General features: G+C 43.4%; 1 long non-coding RNA gene across 6 annotated transcripts in view, besides 2 other annotated features; it reads left to right on the forward strand.

Moving 5' to 3' along the window:
- LINC02981 (long intergenic non-protein coding RNA 2981) overlaps positions 1-16,329 on the forward strand; it is a 142,382-nt gene that overhangs the window by 41,549 nt on the left and 84,504 nt on the right. The window lies entirely within an intron of this gene.
- Positions 935-1,510: an enhancer, noted in NCBI's record as "NANOG-H3K27ac-H3K4me1 hESC enhancer chr7:26480672-26481247 (GRCh37/hg19 assembly coordinates)". NCBI's record gives its function as "activates a minimal SCP1, AML or CMV promoter by ChIP-STARR-seq in naive H9 embryonic stem cells {active_cell/tissue: H9 hESC(naive)}" and the evidence as "EXISTENCE:reporter gene assay evidence [ECO:0000049][PMID:30033119]".
- Positions 1,511-2,085: an enhancer, noted in NCBI's record as "NANOG-H3K27ac-H3K4me1 hESC enhancer chr7:26481248-26481822 (GRCh37/hg19 assembly coordinates)". NCBI's record gives its function as "activates a minimal SCP1, AML or CMV promoter by ChIP-STARR-seq in naive H9 embryonic stem cells {active_cell/tissue: H9 hESC(naive)}" and the evidence as "EXISTENCE:reporter gene assay evidence [ECO:0000049][PMID:30033119]".

Below are 16,329 nucleotides of genomic sequence, written 5' to 3' on the forward strand. Positions count from 1 at the left end.
GAAAGCAGGAATGAAGCAGACCAGAGCCTGCTGCTTTGGTTTTCTCCCTTCTTCTTAGCATAAAGCAACTTCTTTTGTGCTGATCATCACAGGGATTAGCAAGTAGCATAAGCAACGTTTCATATTGACAGCTTTTGAATCCCTCTCAATTTTAGAGTCTTCCAATAGAAAGCTTGTTCTTGTCTCTGTCTCCAGAGTGAAGTTTGTCTCCCTGACAGTTAATCCTGAGACAGCCTTCCATTGCCTTGATAGGCTTGTCATTCATGCCTTGACACCTCTCATTCATCTGAGTCTGGCCTGCTGGATATGCAAATGATAGGAGGACTGAAAATCATAATCCTTCAGCCGTGATGGCGTCAACGTCACTATTCTTGGAACAAGCCATTTTGTGAGTAGCTGGGGAGTGGTGGGAGACTCTAAGCGAGGGGAGGCAGCATGCACTTCTGACCTTTTCATGGCCCAGGTCAGAATTAGATTTTTAAAAAAGCAAATGCCCAAACCGAGAGAAACCCTTAAAGCCTAAAGATTGTAGACAAATCTCTCTGATAAGCTTGCCTGTATAAATAAATGTCATTTAGAGTGATTATAGTGAAAAGGATCTCTTAAGATTTTCAATGTGATATGTCTGTCTCTTGTGCTGTGGGATATTTTATTGCATTTTTGCCCTCAAGTGGAGCTGACAGGAGCCAAGCTTGTAATTTAAATCAATAAGAACCCTTTACCATGGCCATAAAATACTTGGCTAAACCTTTGAAGTGGCCACAGTTGAATGCACAGTGAACACAGTATAAATGTTCCTTAAGATGTATTGTATGAGACCACTACTAAAACAGCATTCAAAGGAACCGGCCTTAAGCATCTTTTGTGACTGATGGGAGAAGGTCCCAAATGCTTTTGATCATTTACGTGCTGCTCCAAACAGCCCACTTAATTGGCATGTGACCCGGCTGCAGCCTTCTGTTGTCTTCTCAGACATTTCCACTGTCTCTTTGGTGGGGTTTCTGGAATCCGGGCCTCCTTCTAAACCAATAATCCACATCTGACATGCTGTTGTGTCAGTTGCTCCTGTTCATTTCCACTGTAGCAGGGGAAAATAGAACAAAGGCTGGTTGTTCAAACCCATCCTGGGAGCGCCGCACAGGCAGTTCAGCAGCACTGCTGGGAAGTGTTCTTTGTGTAACAGCGAAGGCTGAGGTTGCAGCTTACCTGTTAGTTTCTTTTGGAGCGGCTTGTTTTTGGAGTGGTGGCATTCAGAGAGCTGTCAGACTTCAAAAGGCGGCGTTTGCCTCCCCTCTGCTTCGCTCTGCTGTCTCCTGCGTCCTCATTGTGTGCCTGGCCCTTCCTCTGGCTCCTTCCTGCCGCCTTTGCCTTTTTTCTGTGAGGATGGGCGGGTCAGGGTGGATGGATGTTTCCTGACTCTTGTCCTCTGTGTCTCTGTCTCTGTTTGTCCCTCACTCTTTGTCTCTCTCTTGCTCTCAGATTCCAAAGTCTTCCCCAATTCTACAAAAACAGTAAATGGCGATCATCTGAATTTGGAATCTGGCTGTGGACAGTCTTGTGTGAGGGACCTCTGGGACGCGCCTGCTCCCCCGGTGGGGAGTGTGGCAGTTGTGATACCAAATGCACAGGCTCAAGCCTGGGCGCAGTCACTCCTTTCCAGATTCATGGGCCAAATACCTTTCCTGGCTGCTGCCTCACAGAAGCCCTGTCTTCCTGGTGAGACGTCAAAGATAGGGATCAGAGTCACAGGCCAGTCTCTACTTTATCTGATAGATCACAACCTTCCCTGTAGTTCCCTCTTGGGATGGCACCTACAGGTATCACAGTGGCTAAGCAGATGGACACATGTCCTGTGTGACCTCTCCTTTTGGGGAAGGCACTTTCTAAAAAGGCCCATCTGGGCTCAGGTCTGACTCCCCTAGCAGGCCACATGTCATGTCTGTTTGCCACATGTAGTCTGACAATACATTTTATTGCCTGGCCTCTGCAAACCCAACACGATTTTGTGACTCTTGATATTTCAGCTGATCTTTACAAGATTTCTTTTGCCCTTTTGTGAGAACAGAGTAGACAGGGCCTTAAGAACAGATTACTTTGTGTTTATAAAGTTAATGTGTATAAATGGCATTTAAAAACATGTGTGTGGGTAAAGTATTATAGCCAAAATCAGATTTTAAGGACATACCAACAAGATTCAATGTTCAGAACTTGTTTAGGTCCTAATTTGAAAAAACGAACTGAAAAGATGTGTGATATATATTTAAATAACTGGGGACATTTGCCTACAACTGGTTATCAGATAATTGACAAAATATTACAGGAAAGAAAGGCAGGGAGTAAATAAAAACCACATTGGCAAGCAATGATAGTTGTAAAAGCTGGGTCATCACTGGAATAAGGGTTCAGTATGTTATTCTCTCTATTTTTCTTTATATTTCTAAATACTCTATTGCAAAGTTAGAAGAAGTTAGCATGTCTACTCAGGATTGCCTGATCACTACACTTATACCTCTTGTTCAATAAAATTGTATTTCTGAAGGTCTTACCTGTTTGCCTGTCATCCTGTGCTTTTACCTCCCGTGTAAAATTTCCCTTGCACTGGGGGCTGGTTCTGTTCGAATGCTGTCTATGCCTGTGGCCTGAACTTTAGCATTTAGCATGGAATTTCTGCCTATCTGGTCTCCCCATCCAGACTGTAAACGTCTTGAAAGCAGAACCGTTTCTTACCTTTCAGTGCTTGCAACCTATAATTGTGCAGCGTGAGGCCCAGAGTAGGAATGAATCGGGCTAGGCTAGACTGTGTTGTGGTAACACATAAGCCTTGAAATCTCAGCAGCGTTATGCAGTAAAAGTTCATTTCTTGTTCCTGTAAAGTCGGATGTGTGTTGGGCATCTCTGTCCCATCTTGCAGCTATGCTCTCAGGAGTGGGTGGCTTTCAGAGAGACCACAGCGGGGGAAGAGAGAGAGATGAGATCCACTAACAGGTTGTATTTTGACTGCCTCTGCCTAGAAATAACCTACAGAACTTCTCCCACAGCCCATAGGCTGGAATGAGTCACCTGACCCCCTGACAGCAAGGCAGGCTGGGAAATGAACGGAGCATGTGGCTATCTGGTGAGCACGAATTGTTTCTACGCTGCTTCTTACCCCATGTGCATATTGTCTCATGAATTTCAACATGAGAGAATGCCCAGGGAAGAAGGCCTTTGGTCATTTGTGCAGAATAAGAAAATGACAACCAGACCATTTCCTTTCCTCTTTTTATTTTCTTTTTTCTTTTTTTTGCCATGCCAGTGGGTTGTTTCCTACATGGCTGGAACCCTGTCTCTGGTTAATGGTAAGATCCCAGAGGGCTTCATGACCACTGTTCAGGCTTTGTTTCTATGACAGTCAAAGGCACAGGGATTATTGCCTGTCTCCATCTGAAAATGTTATAGCTTGACCCTGTCAGGGTGCTGCCAAGCTGGAGGTGCTCCAAGAATAGAGGGGTACACTGTGACTGGGGCTCACGTGGTTAAAATAGTAATAACCAGAAAAATGGAGCATCAGGCCATAGCAAGAAAAGAAGGGCACAACTACATTATGGTGGGAAGTTCCTTCCTCAGGCAAAGTTGAAAATGTTTTATTTAAGGAAAGGACAGCACTAACCAAATAGAGGAAAATTGTAGACTCTCAAGCCAGGTGCATGTCGCATGTGTGATATGCTAATGATCATCAGCCAAATGTAGTGATTGAGCAAGTGCTAAGGGGTATTTGCCTGTAGATAAATGGTCTGTATGAACAGTTGTTGCCCCAGTCTGCCTGTCTCCCTCCCCTTCCGCCTGTGGGTGGGGCAGGTTTCCTTAGAAGAGCCTGAGGCACTGCAGCCTTCCTGGGGCTGGCAGTGAAGGTACTCTTACGTGCAGAGCCACATGAGGGACGCTGGTCTGAGAGTCTTCTAGAAATAATAGGCAGCCCTTGAAGGGCATTAAGTGGAGGGTGACCTGCCCCTTATTGCTTCTTTATTTTTTAATTTTTTATTTTTTTTGAGACAGAGACTCACTCCATCACCCAGGCTGGAGTGCAGTGGCGTGATCTCGGCTCATTGTAACCTCTGCCTCCTGGGTTCAAGTGATTCTTGTGCCTCAGCCTCCCAAGTAGCTGGGATTACAGGCATGTGCCACCATGCCCGGCTAATTTTTGTATTTTTAGTAGAGACGGGGTTTTACCATATTGGCCAGGCTGGTCTCGAACTCCTGGCCTCAAGTGATCTGCCCGCCTTGGCCTCTCAAAGTGCTGGGATTACAGGCATGAGCCACCACACTTGGCTCCTGGATTGCTTCTTTAAAGAATCCATGTGGCTGTGTCCTGAGGATGAGCTGCAGGGGCACACCGAAGTAAGCAGGAGGACCAGCTGGGAGGTCACTGAGAAATGGAAGGGTGGTTTCAGGGATGGGGAAAGCTAGGTGGGCTACTCTGTTTGGCAATGAGTGATAACCATCTCCTCCCCCTCTCCCCTTGGATGTCTAGGACCAGGGACACTGGTCCCCTGTTAGTTCGTTTCTCCCTCAGGGCCTTTGCACCCACTGTGCCCTTTGCTGGAACAACTCCCCCACCCCCAGCCTACACCTACTTACCCTTCAATCTCGGCTCTGATGTCACTTCCTCAAAAAGCCTCTGGACAACCCCCTTCCAGATAGGTCAGGCCCCTCATTCACAATTAGTTATGTAGTGATGTAATGTCTGTTTCTTCCATTAAAATGGAAGATTCTTGAATTCAGGGGTTGTGTTTGTCATAATCACATTAAAAAACTACTTTAAAAGAAAAACAGAGCATGCTGCCTTGTACATAGTAGGTCCTTAATGAATATTTTTTGAATGAAGTATGCTAGGCATTTTCTTATAGTGTGCTGTCAAAACCTCCTTACAAGCTTGCAACCCCATTTTGTGGATGAGTAAATTGTGGCTCCAAGAACACAAAGCAGGGGAGTGGCAGACCCAGGATTTGCAGCTCGGTCTGTGTAGCACCAAAGCTCTCATTCTTTCTGTCACAGCAGAAATAAATGAAGTTACTTTATTCAAACAATGTAATTCAGATTAGGCCAAAGCCAGAGCACTATGAATTTTTTTTTATTTCACTGGCTCCAACCTACTGAGATCAATTTAATTCATGTCGCATTTACGGGGTGCCTTGAACTCATTCACTATGTTAAATAGGAGGGCAAGAAAGGGACAGAGCTGGGCTTCAGGGAAATGCCTGTAGTGAGCTAGATACAGAGGGTCCCAGAAGGAGAAGAAGCTGTGTGCCTCCCAGAGGAGTAGCCTGGCCCAGAGCCCAGGTCACTGAGTTATTAGGAATGGCCTGTGGGGGTGGCAAGGGCCTGCTGTCTCTTGACTCTTGCTGAGGTAGGTAAAACATTTAGGCTGGCTGCTTAATGGAAAGAGCTTGGCTTTGGAGTCAGTCGCCCTTTGCTACTTTCCAGCTGAGTAACATTGGGCAAGCTACTTGCACTCTCCAAATCCCAGTTTCCTCATCTGTAAAATGAAGATAATGGGCCAGGCATGGTGGCTCACGCCTGTAAACCCAGCACTTTGGGAGGCTGAGGTGGGCGGATCACTTGAGGTCAGGAGTTCAAGACCAGCCTGGCCAACATGGTGAAACTCCATCTCTACTAAAAATTCAAAAATTAGCTAGGAGTGGTGGCGTGCTCCTGTAATCCCAGCTACTCAGGAGGCTGAGGCAGGAGAATCACTTGAACCCAGGAGGTGGAGGTTGTGGTGAGCCGAGATCATGCCATTGCACTCCAGCCTGGTCAACAGAGCAAGACTCCGTTTCAAAAGAAAAAAAAAAAGAAGATAATGATACTTCGCTCAGTTGTGGTGAAGAATTCACGGGAAAATGCATAAAAGCCCCAGGCTCATTGCCTGGCATATGCTATTAGCGGATGTCTGTAACCATCCTAGGGGGCCCTCTGTAGACAGACTGAACTGGGAGAGGATCACAAAGTGGGGGATTCAGAAAGTCAGCAACCAAGAATATTGGGAACAAGGACGTAAACGCACCTCCACTTTTATTCTTTCCTTTTTTCTACTTGGTTGAGGTGAAATTTACATGACACAAACTGTAATCCATTTTAAACTCCAATTCAGTGGCATTTAGTACATTCACAGTGTGTGCAACCACTACTTGTATCTTGTTACAAAACATTTTCATCATCCCCAAAGGAAACTGTCCACCCATTAAACAATCCCTCCCCATTTCCCTGACTCCTCAGCTCCTGGCAACCATCAATCTGCATGTGACTCTGTGGATTTACCTGATGTAAATGTTTCATGTAAATGAAATTGGTTTGGGGGGGTTCTTCCATTTTGTAGCATTTATCAGAATTTCATTCATTTTTATGGCTGAGTAATATTCTATTGTAGGTACTTACCACTTTTGCTTATCTATTCATCCCTTGATGGATATTTGGATTTTTTCCACCTTTTGGCGATTGTGAATAACGTTGCTATGAACATTTGTGTACAGGTATTTGCTTAAGTATGTGCTTTTGATTCTTTTGGGTATATACCCAGGCATGGAATTGTTGGGTCCTATGGTAATTTTATATTTAACTTTTTGAGAAACCACCTAATTGATTTTAAAAGCAGCTGTACCATTGTACATTCTCACCAGCAATGCGAAGGATTCCAATTTCTCCGTGCTCACCAACACTTACTTTTTGTTTATTTTTGATTATAGCCATCCTTGCGGGTATGAAGTGGTATCTCATTGCATGTTTTTTCCCCTTTTTTCACTGTGGTTTTGATTTGCATTTCGCCCCACCCCACCTTTATTTTTTAAATTCAGAAGAGTTGTTTGGTCTTCATGGCTTCTTTGAATCCTTAGACTATCCCTGATGGTTTATGTACAAAAGAGGTTTCTGTGGAAAAAAAAGACCCTCTTGTACAACTCCGGTAGGATTTTAAATTAGTACAAAGTCTGTGGAAAGTCATTTGGAACACTCCCCATTGAAATTACAAACACACACACCCTTTGATCCAGCAGTTCCAAGTCTATGAATCTGGCTTATGGATATACTCCCATGTGAACAAAATGATGTATCTATAAGGTTATTCACTGCAACATTGTTTATAATAGCAACAGATGGGAAACAAAATAAATGCCCCTCAACCGGGAACTGGTTAAACAAATTTTGGCACAGCCATACAATGGGATCCAGTACAGCTGTAAAAATGATGGAGACACCTCTTTGTGTGCTGGTATGGAGGGAATCCCAAGACATATTGTTAAGCAGAAAAAGAAATCAAGATGTAGAACAGTGTATAAATAGTCTGCCCTTCATATGAAAATGAGAGAAAAAGAATATGTGTGTGTATGTATGTATGCATATATAAATGCTTGTATTTCCCTGAATATTCATGAAATACCTTTGTAGAAAGGAAATTGGTGGTGAGAGACAAGAGTGGGAAGAAAACTTTTTACTGTATATCCTCTTGTGCCTTTGGAATTTCAAACTCTGTAAATATATTTCCTGTTCGAAAAATTAAATTGAAATGAAGACAACTCATAAACACCTAGAAATCTCATTAATTTGGGCTCTGATAGATCTGATCTTATGGTGATTTCAGTAGGACATGGACTCTAAGGTAAGCTTTGCTACACAAAGTGATGCCAGGGACAGGGTTGCAAAAGAAATAATTCAAGATCTCATCCCTCCCCCTTCCACTGCAGTCCCGGCTGCAGCCTTAGCTCACTGACTTGTTCACAATTTGAACTTAAGTCAGGCTTCCCGAGGCCATCCTGAATGACTTCCCGCAGTTCCCCCTTGCCCTTGTTCTGAGAGTCCTGCCCTTGGGCTTGCCCCAACACATGGTGCTCAAACAGAAACCAATGGGACTGGAGTATGCAGAGGAGCAGGTACAGCCCTAGACACTGGAAAGAAATTATGTCCAAAGTAAGTCTTTGAACTTGAGGTTGGGCACTTTGTGGCACCATGTTATCCAAGAGCTCTGAGTAGATCAGACGGCAGAGGAAGAGAAGTCTTAGCTCTGTCACTTTCTTGGTCAGTGTCTTTGGGCAAATCACCACATGCCTCTGAATCTCTGTTTTCTCATCTCTAAATGGGGCCAATACATGCAGGATTGTTGCATGTAGATGATGAGATGTTAAGAGGGCTTTTCTTTCCTTTTTTTTTTTTAACCCCCAGAGATGGGGTCTTGCTCTGTTGCCCAGGCTGGAGTGCAGTGAGTGGTATGATCATAGATCACTACAGACTCTAACCCTTGGGGCTCAACCAATTTTCCTGCCTTAGCCTCCCGAGTAGCTGGGACTATAGGTATGTGCCACCATGCCTGGCTAATTTTTAAATTTTTTTGTAGAGATAAAGTCTCACTATGTTGCCCAGGCTGAAGAGGGCTTTCTTAATATAAGCCTTATAAAATGCTGTAAGAACATGAAGGTTAACTTGAAAGTCACTATGAAAAGTCCACATTGGTTAAACATCTCCAATGTGCTTACTATGTTTGTGAGCTGGAGAGATGACAAAGAAGAATAACAGATTCTCCACCCTTCAAGAGTTTTGAGGGCTCATAGGCTAGTGAGAGAGGTGGTTGTGAAGACAATTAATTGCAGCAGAGTGCTAAGTATAGAATATAATGGAACACCAGGTGTAGGGGTGTGGGGAGGAGGAAGGCACAACTGTGCCTGGGGACTCAGCAAAGGCTTCTGAGACCAGAAGATGTTAGGGTTGAATCGTGAAAGGGAAGTAGGAGGTTGCCAGGCATGTAGGGCGCATTCCGGGTGGAGGAAACAGTCTGTGAAAAGGCAAGACGGGAAAAAGGAGAGAATGTTTATGGGCAACTCCAAGCAACTGGTTGCTGCAGAGTTTGGGGTATGTGGGTGGGAGCTGAGGTTGAAAAGGGATGACCAGGTCACATCTTGGAGACCTCTTTTATGGAGGTCACAGCTAAATGATGCAGTAAGAAATAAAACAAAAATACGTAAATATGGCAAGCAATCCTTTTACAGATCCTTCTCTCAGACATAAGATACTAAAAGACACTGAGCTTCCATATTTTTGACTCCCGACTCCCTGTGAGATGCACTGGGCATGAGCTTTGAGCATGCCCTTGTGAGGAACTCCAGCCAGCAGTCCTGGACTTTGAGCCATCCAGGCCAGACTGCAGATGATTCCAGCTCCTAGTCATGGAGTCACTCCAGTCAAATATCAAAATACTTTGGATATTTCCTGCTGAGGTCCTGGATGAGCCATCCTCACTGCGCCCATTAAATGATTCCTAGAATCTGTGAGTACAGGAAGTTGTTATATCCCAGGATGAAGTCACTGATCTAGAACAGGGAAAAGCCTTCACGTTGAGGACAGCTGCCCTGGGGAAGAGGATCATCTGCCCAGGGCACGTCCCAAGGTCATACGATTCATGCTGCTGCCACTGGCCTTTCCAAAACCCAGACACCATCATGCCACTCCTCTGATTTAAAAGCTGCCGTGGGTCCTCTCTGGCTGCAGAATGTAGCCTAACTGCTCAGTCCGTTGCTCAGGTTATTCACAGCCCAGCCCTCACCTTCGCCTGAGCTTCCTCTCCTGTGACTCTCCTCAGCAGCTCCAGGTCCTTGCCTCTTTGCTGCTTGGGGAAAGCATACTCCTCATTCAGGGTCAGCCAATTCCCGCCTGTCCTCACAGGCAGAGGAACAGCCTCCTCTTCTAGGCTCGCTCAGCACTCGACACTTTCTTCTTAGAGCTCTTTTCAGACGTTCACTTTTTGTGTTTGTATTTTGGCAAGACTGTGATTTCCTGGAGGGTAGGGACCATGTCTGACTCATGTCTGTAGTCTCAGGGCCCAGCTCTGTGTCCAGTTCAGTAAATGTTTTAGATGATTGAATGGATGCCTGGGAGGAAGGGAGGTGTGCTCCCCAGCAAACAACTGAGTGAATGTTTTCCAGGGGTGAGTCAGGAGTGATCTGTAAGTGCTATCCTCTACTGCTTTGTCTTCTGCTGTTTTTCTTTCATTCTTTCCCTCCTGCATTGCTTCTCTTATACTCATTTTTAAAATACATCTTTCTAAAATTTTTAAAAAAATTTTTTAATAATTAAAAAAATAAAGATGGGATCTTGCTAATTTGCCCAGGCTGATCTTAAAATACTGGGCTTAAGGAATCCTCCTGCCTCGGCTTCCCAAAGTTCTGGGATTACAGGCATGAGCTACTGCACCCAGCCGATTTTTTTGTGCACAAATTTTTAGAAATACCTGCCATGCAGGGGTTTGTATATTTGGGGCATAGATACCCAGGTAATACCCCCATCCCAGAACAGTTACTTCAGTTGTTCTGTGGATGATAAATCAGAGACCTACAATGTAGATTTCTCTTTTATATGTCTTTATTGCCTATATTAGGATTCATTAGTTACAATGAAAAGGAGAGGTAGAAACAACATAATTCAGTGTTCTGACACAAGGCTGTTTCCTCTGGTCCACAGGCTAATTTTTTTTTTTCTACTTAGAATTAGAAACTGATGATACTTCCACTTTTTCCCTTAGGAAAATGTTTAAGGATTTAGTGATCTTACTTTGAGGGTAATTCTCCAATGATGCTGCCTAAATGTTTCTCCTTTAATTTCATCCCAAGGCCAAGCTTTAATGCTTGAAATGATTAGTTCACACTGCAACTAATTTAGAATTTGAGTTAACACAAACACAGTTTGCATGTATATTCTCATAAGAAAGGTTTGAAATAACCCTTTATCTGCAAGGTTTCAGTATTACCAACATGCAGCATTTCATCCAAATTTGTCACCATTTTACAAACAAAGGGCTCAAGAAATCAAGGCCTTTTGAATCATCAGGGCCTACTAAATTTTTTAAAAGACTAAATGCTTATGATGCATGAATAGGTAATGGAGGCATTTACAAATTTCAATTTTTAGTCCATTAATCTCATTTACTTATTAAGAATCATTTATAGAAAATTCAACTCAACCAAGTACCTGTATAAGGTAATGTAGGCAATGATTTTGTAAACTAGTAAAAATTATGTCAGGTATTATTGACATCTGCACGTATTTGTAAATCCAAGACTGCATTTTAAAAGATGTAGACAATCTAGATGTATTTGCCTACCATTCTGTTACAAGTAAATCTATATATATTTTTTCTTTTTTTAATTATTTAATTAATTTTTTTTCTTATACTTTAAGTTCTAGGGTACATGTGCACAACGTGCAGGTTTGTTACATAGGTATACATGTGCCATGTTGGTTTGCTGCACCCATCAACTCGTCATTTACATTAGGTATTTCTCCTAATGCTATTCCTCCCCCCACCCCCATCCCATAACAGGCCCCAGCGTGTGATGTGTGATGTATATTATTTTTATTGTGATGTATATTATTTTTCACGTTAAGATAAACAAAACCAGAAAATGTGTTTCTACTTTTTGTATTTCTGCTTTTTGTATCCCATATCCTGGAGAGAAACGAACTTTCGCATCGCAGCTACCTGCATTTTCAAGTCAAGTAAACAAACTTGGAATCCAAAAGTGTAAGCAGCACCTCTGCTGGAGATAAGAAGTGGCTTAGACATAAACCCCATCACTACCCCTCCCACAACCTGCTTCCTACCTCATCTTTCTTCCAGCAAAGCTGGTTTGAAGGCTCTGGACTTTTGATCATGGCCTCGGGCCGCTGTCCTGGATGGCTGGTCTCAGAAGACCCTCTGAAAACCCAAAGAAGCTTTGGCTACCAGGGGATTCATTTCTCATCTTAAAATTATTCTTTAGAGACAAGATTTAAACCTTCACTTTCTAGGCCTTAGAGTTCCCTTCTCAGAATAACAGGTGGATTACACCGATGGCTGCATTCTCCCCACAGCGGCCACAGGATATTTAAAAATGTAAATCATGTCCCATAACCTGCCTTCCCATTGCACTTCAGATATCCAGGTTCCTCATCCAGGCCTTCGAGGGCCTTTGGGATCCTGCTGTGCTCCCTTTACATGCCTGGCTTGAAGCTCCTCCCCTGCCAGCCTTGCTCTTCCCCTCCCAACCTCGCTCTGCTCCAGCCCCGCTCTCTGGTCTGGCCTCATACATGCCCAACTTTCAGCCTCCAGGGACTTTGTGCATCAGGTATTTCTGTCTAGTGCATTCTTTTTTTTTTCTGTTTGTTTGTTTGTTTTGGCATGCATCCATGCATTCCTCCCCTTTAGGTCTCAGCTTAACCCTCACCTGACCACCTGGTCTACACTTGTTCCCCACAAACCCTTCTGTATTGTCTCACTCCATATCAGTCTTTGTTACAGCACCATTTTCATTCTCTCCTGGGCCTTTACATTTGGTCATGACTTCTTTACCTATCTCTGTGCTTCCCCACCTGACTATAAACTCCATGGGAGCAGGTACTTCAGTCATCTGGGCCTTGCAGGAGGCCCTGCTCTAAGCTGGTATTGCTGGCTTTGCTAGATGCCCAGCTAGGCCACACGTCCCAGCTTCCCTTGCGGCTGTGCTGCTGAGTGCTAAGACATCACCTGAAGAGTGGGAGAGGAAGTGATGTGTTTAGCTTCTGCCTCATTTGCTCGGAATGCATTCCCCAGCCCTAGATGTGTACCCACCTTTCCCTCCTGAGGACAGGAGCGTGGCGGTGCCCATGATCAGCCTGACTGTGCAGACAAGGACACACTCTGGAGGGTGGCAGAGCAACTGGATGGACAGACATGGGCCTAAATGGCCACATGTGGCAGAGCTTCACCCAGCCCAGACCATTTGCCTTGAAATGTTCCATGAGTGCAGAATAAACCTGCATGTCTTTAAGCCACTATACTTGGTCTCTTTGTTATGTGGCTTAACTTTCAGCCAGACGGTTGAATCAATAGTTATTGAATGAATGACTGAATCATCGGAGGCTCGCCAATTTTACCTGGTGCCTTCACTACCATAGGGTTAAGAGGGGAGGTGGTCATCACTGGGAATCATTTACTGAGCACCTGCCACGTACTGGAAAACATTCACCAGGAACTTTTCTGTGCTGGTTGGGTGTCTTCAACTTTTCCCATCTGAAAGCTCCCTGTGGCCTGAAGTGATGTCTCACTGCACTGTTGATGGATTTTTCTCTGCCATCCCAAAGAAACCAAACTTGAAAGGATGTCACGAAGCATGCAGCATGTAAGTCACACTCTTCATGTGAAGATTCTAAGTTGTTCTGTTATGAAAGATCTTGTGTGAAACAGAAATGCCATCTTATAGACTGTGGCAGTTTGTGACCCACATCATAGCAGAGAGTTCTGCCCACTTAATAGTGCTATACTTACTTCCAAAGTTAGTATCTGTGACATTTCATACCTGAACTTCTAATGTTAGATAAATTTTTCTGAAACTCTTGGTCCACAATGATGGGTGGTTTTGTTTGTTTATTAAACTTTTGGGGAGTATATTAGCTGGGAGTAATGATTTTTCTAAGAATTGCCAGTTATGGCTTTAATTTTGGGGAAAAATATTTCCTCCTTTACAATGAACTTTTTGACTTAGGTTCTGGTATATTTTTCGGCTCTACTATATTTGACAAAAGACATTTAGTAAAGCTATTCAGTTAATTTCTTACCTCCTCCCAGAGGTAGCATTTTAAAAGAAGATATCAGGGATGGGCACAGTGGCCCATACCTGTAATCCATAAGCCATTAGGTGGCTGAGGTGGGAGGATTGCTTGAGGCCAGGAGTTCAAGACCAGCATGGGCAACATAGAGAGTCTCCATCGTTAAAAATATAAAAAATAAAAAAATACAATATTAGCCGGGCATGGTGTCATGTGCCCGTAGTCCCAGTTACTCAGGAGGCTGAGGCAGGAGGATCACTTGAGCTCAGGAGCTTGAGGTTGCAGTGAGCTAAGATAGAAGCACTGTGCTCTAGCTGGGTAATAGAGTAGAACCTTGTTTCTAAAAACAAACAAACAAACAAAGAACAAATCTGAACAAAACTAGACTGGACTGAGGGGGCCAGTGCCTTTTCCAGCTTACTTTCTTCTATGTATCCTGCACTTAGACCCAGATTTGCCAATAAATGAAAGAGAGAACATGCAGGATTATGCAAGAAATGTACAACATCGGATATTTTCAGTGACTTTTGTCAAAATTGAGATACCGTCCTTGACTTTAAATTTCCTAAGTTCCTAAGTAGAGACTAAAATCTTTACAGATGTATTAAAACAATACACATATCACAAGCCCTACCATTTCCTGAGTTTGGCCAGATTGTGGGAAAATGTTTTGAGTCTACTTGAGTCATCAGGAAAGTGGCAGATGAGCTTCCTGTGGGCAAGAATAAGTCAATGCACTCAGGGAAAAATACTCTTAAAATCAGGACACATGGTTGATGAGGTTGACAATAGAAGGAATTATTTAAGATTGAGGCCTTGTTGGAAAATCCAGGAGGCATCCTTGCTGGACTCGCAGGCTGAGGGTTCTGAGTTATTGGTTATGACTGAATTTATAAGAGTGGGAATGGGCTGTGGAGGCTGATTCCTGACCGGCCTGTGGGCTGCTGCCTTGGCAAGGGTCATCTTTGTGCTATTCCTTGCCATCATCGTTAGCAGCTGCAGCAGCTTTGGAGTCCACATGTAGACAAAACTTTACAGTCTAGAAAACATGTTAACATTCACAATCTCATTTGATTCTCAGATACAGGAATAGAGAAAAGATACTTTTCTTATAGCATCACATCAATAAGAGACACATAAGTTATTAACAAAATACAGCAAATTGAGTCCAGCAATAGATGGGATTTATCCCAAGAATATAAGATTCTTTAAACATTTGAAATTTAATTACTATCATTTAATAAGTTACAGAATATGGGGAACATATGTAATCATCTAAATATGTAGAGAAAATGCACTTGGCAAAACTCAACACTCTCAGTAAACCAGGACTAGATGGGGATTTCTTCAACCTGTTATGAGGTCAGCTATGAAAAATCTACAGGTAACATATTTAGTGGTAAAATGTTAAACTCTTTTCCCATAAGAGTGGGATAAGGCAAGGGTGTTGACTCTTACCACTTCTATTCAACATTGTACTGGAGGTCTTAGCTAGTGCAATAAGGCAAGAAAAAAAGGGCCCACAGATTGGAAAGGAAGAAGTAAAGCTATCACTATTTGTAGATTGCATGACTATCTACACATTATTGCCATTATGAAGATAAGGAAAGTGAGGCTCAGAGAGATGAAGTGATTTACCTGAGGTCACGCAGGTATAAAGGATGGCGCTAGCACTCAAACTTGGATCCCCTGACTCCAAACCCTGGAATAAAAAGAGGGACTATTTCATTCACTTAAACCTAAAGTAAAGTTTCAGTTATGCTTCTTAAAGAAGATCCAGTGGCACTGGACATTTTCCAGAGCAAATCAACTAAAATGAAAGTGGGAATGCAGAAGGCTTATCAGTGTGGGACAGACTAACTGGCTAGGCTCTTTAGTCTGAGCACAGTGAAGTGTGGACAATATGGGACTAGGGTGACCGTGGATCCATTCACCAGCTCCTGAGATGGCAAAACTGTTGACCTCGGTAAGGTCAGGACTGGTAAAAATACTTTCTCACAGTAACTTCAATATACTTAAGAAACTCATTGTCAAGAGATGATGCAGGATAGAAAAGGTTTAGAAAAAAAGATGTTGAGAGATTCATAACTAGGCTGACCATATCATTCATCATCATAACTGATTTGACAGAAAGAGGGTCCTATTAGTAATTGCCCTAGGTCAACAGGCATAAAGACTGTCCTGGGCAAATTAGGACATTTGGTCCCCCAGCCTATAATAGATATAAAGGAAACTGGCATGTTTGGGTGGTGGGGGGTGGAGAGGCACATCGATAACATTAGTGAACATCTGTTCAGGCACTGGCCAGGCAAGTCATGGTGAATGTCTTAGGGCCTGGAACCCCTACTAGGAGAGTCAGATCTTTGTTGCCCCTTCAGGTGTTCCTGGCCCTTGCTGCTAATTATAATAAATAAGAACAGTAGCGACCATTTGTTGAGCACTTACTACACACCAGGCACTGAGAAGTGCTTTATGTGAAAAATTTCATTCAACAATCCTAGAAGGAAGGCACTATTCCTCTCTCCATTTTACAAGTGAGGAAACAGAATCTCAGAGAGGTTGAGTAACTTTCCCAAGGTCACTCAGCTGGAAAGTATTGGAGCTGAGAGTTGAACCCAGACTCTCAACCATGATGTTAACCAGTCTTTACCTTTTCTCTTTTGGGTTGCAGGCCATTTCAAGGACCCAGGTGTCTGGCATAGGATGAGTGTATGGTTAGACAGCACCAGAGTGGAAATAGGGGAACAT

The sequence above is a fragment of the Homo sapiens genome, chromosome 7, assembly GCF_000001405.40.
Source record: "Homo sapiens chromosome 7, GRCh38.p14 Primary Assembly".
Lineage (NCBI taxonomy): Eukaryota > Metazoa > Chordata > Mammalia > Primates > Hominidae > Homo > Homo sapiens.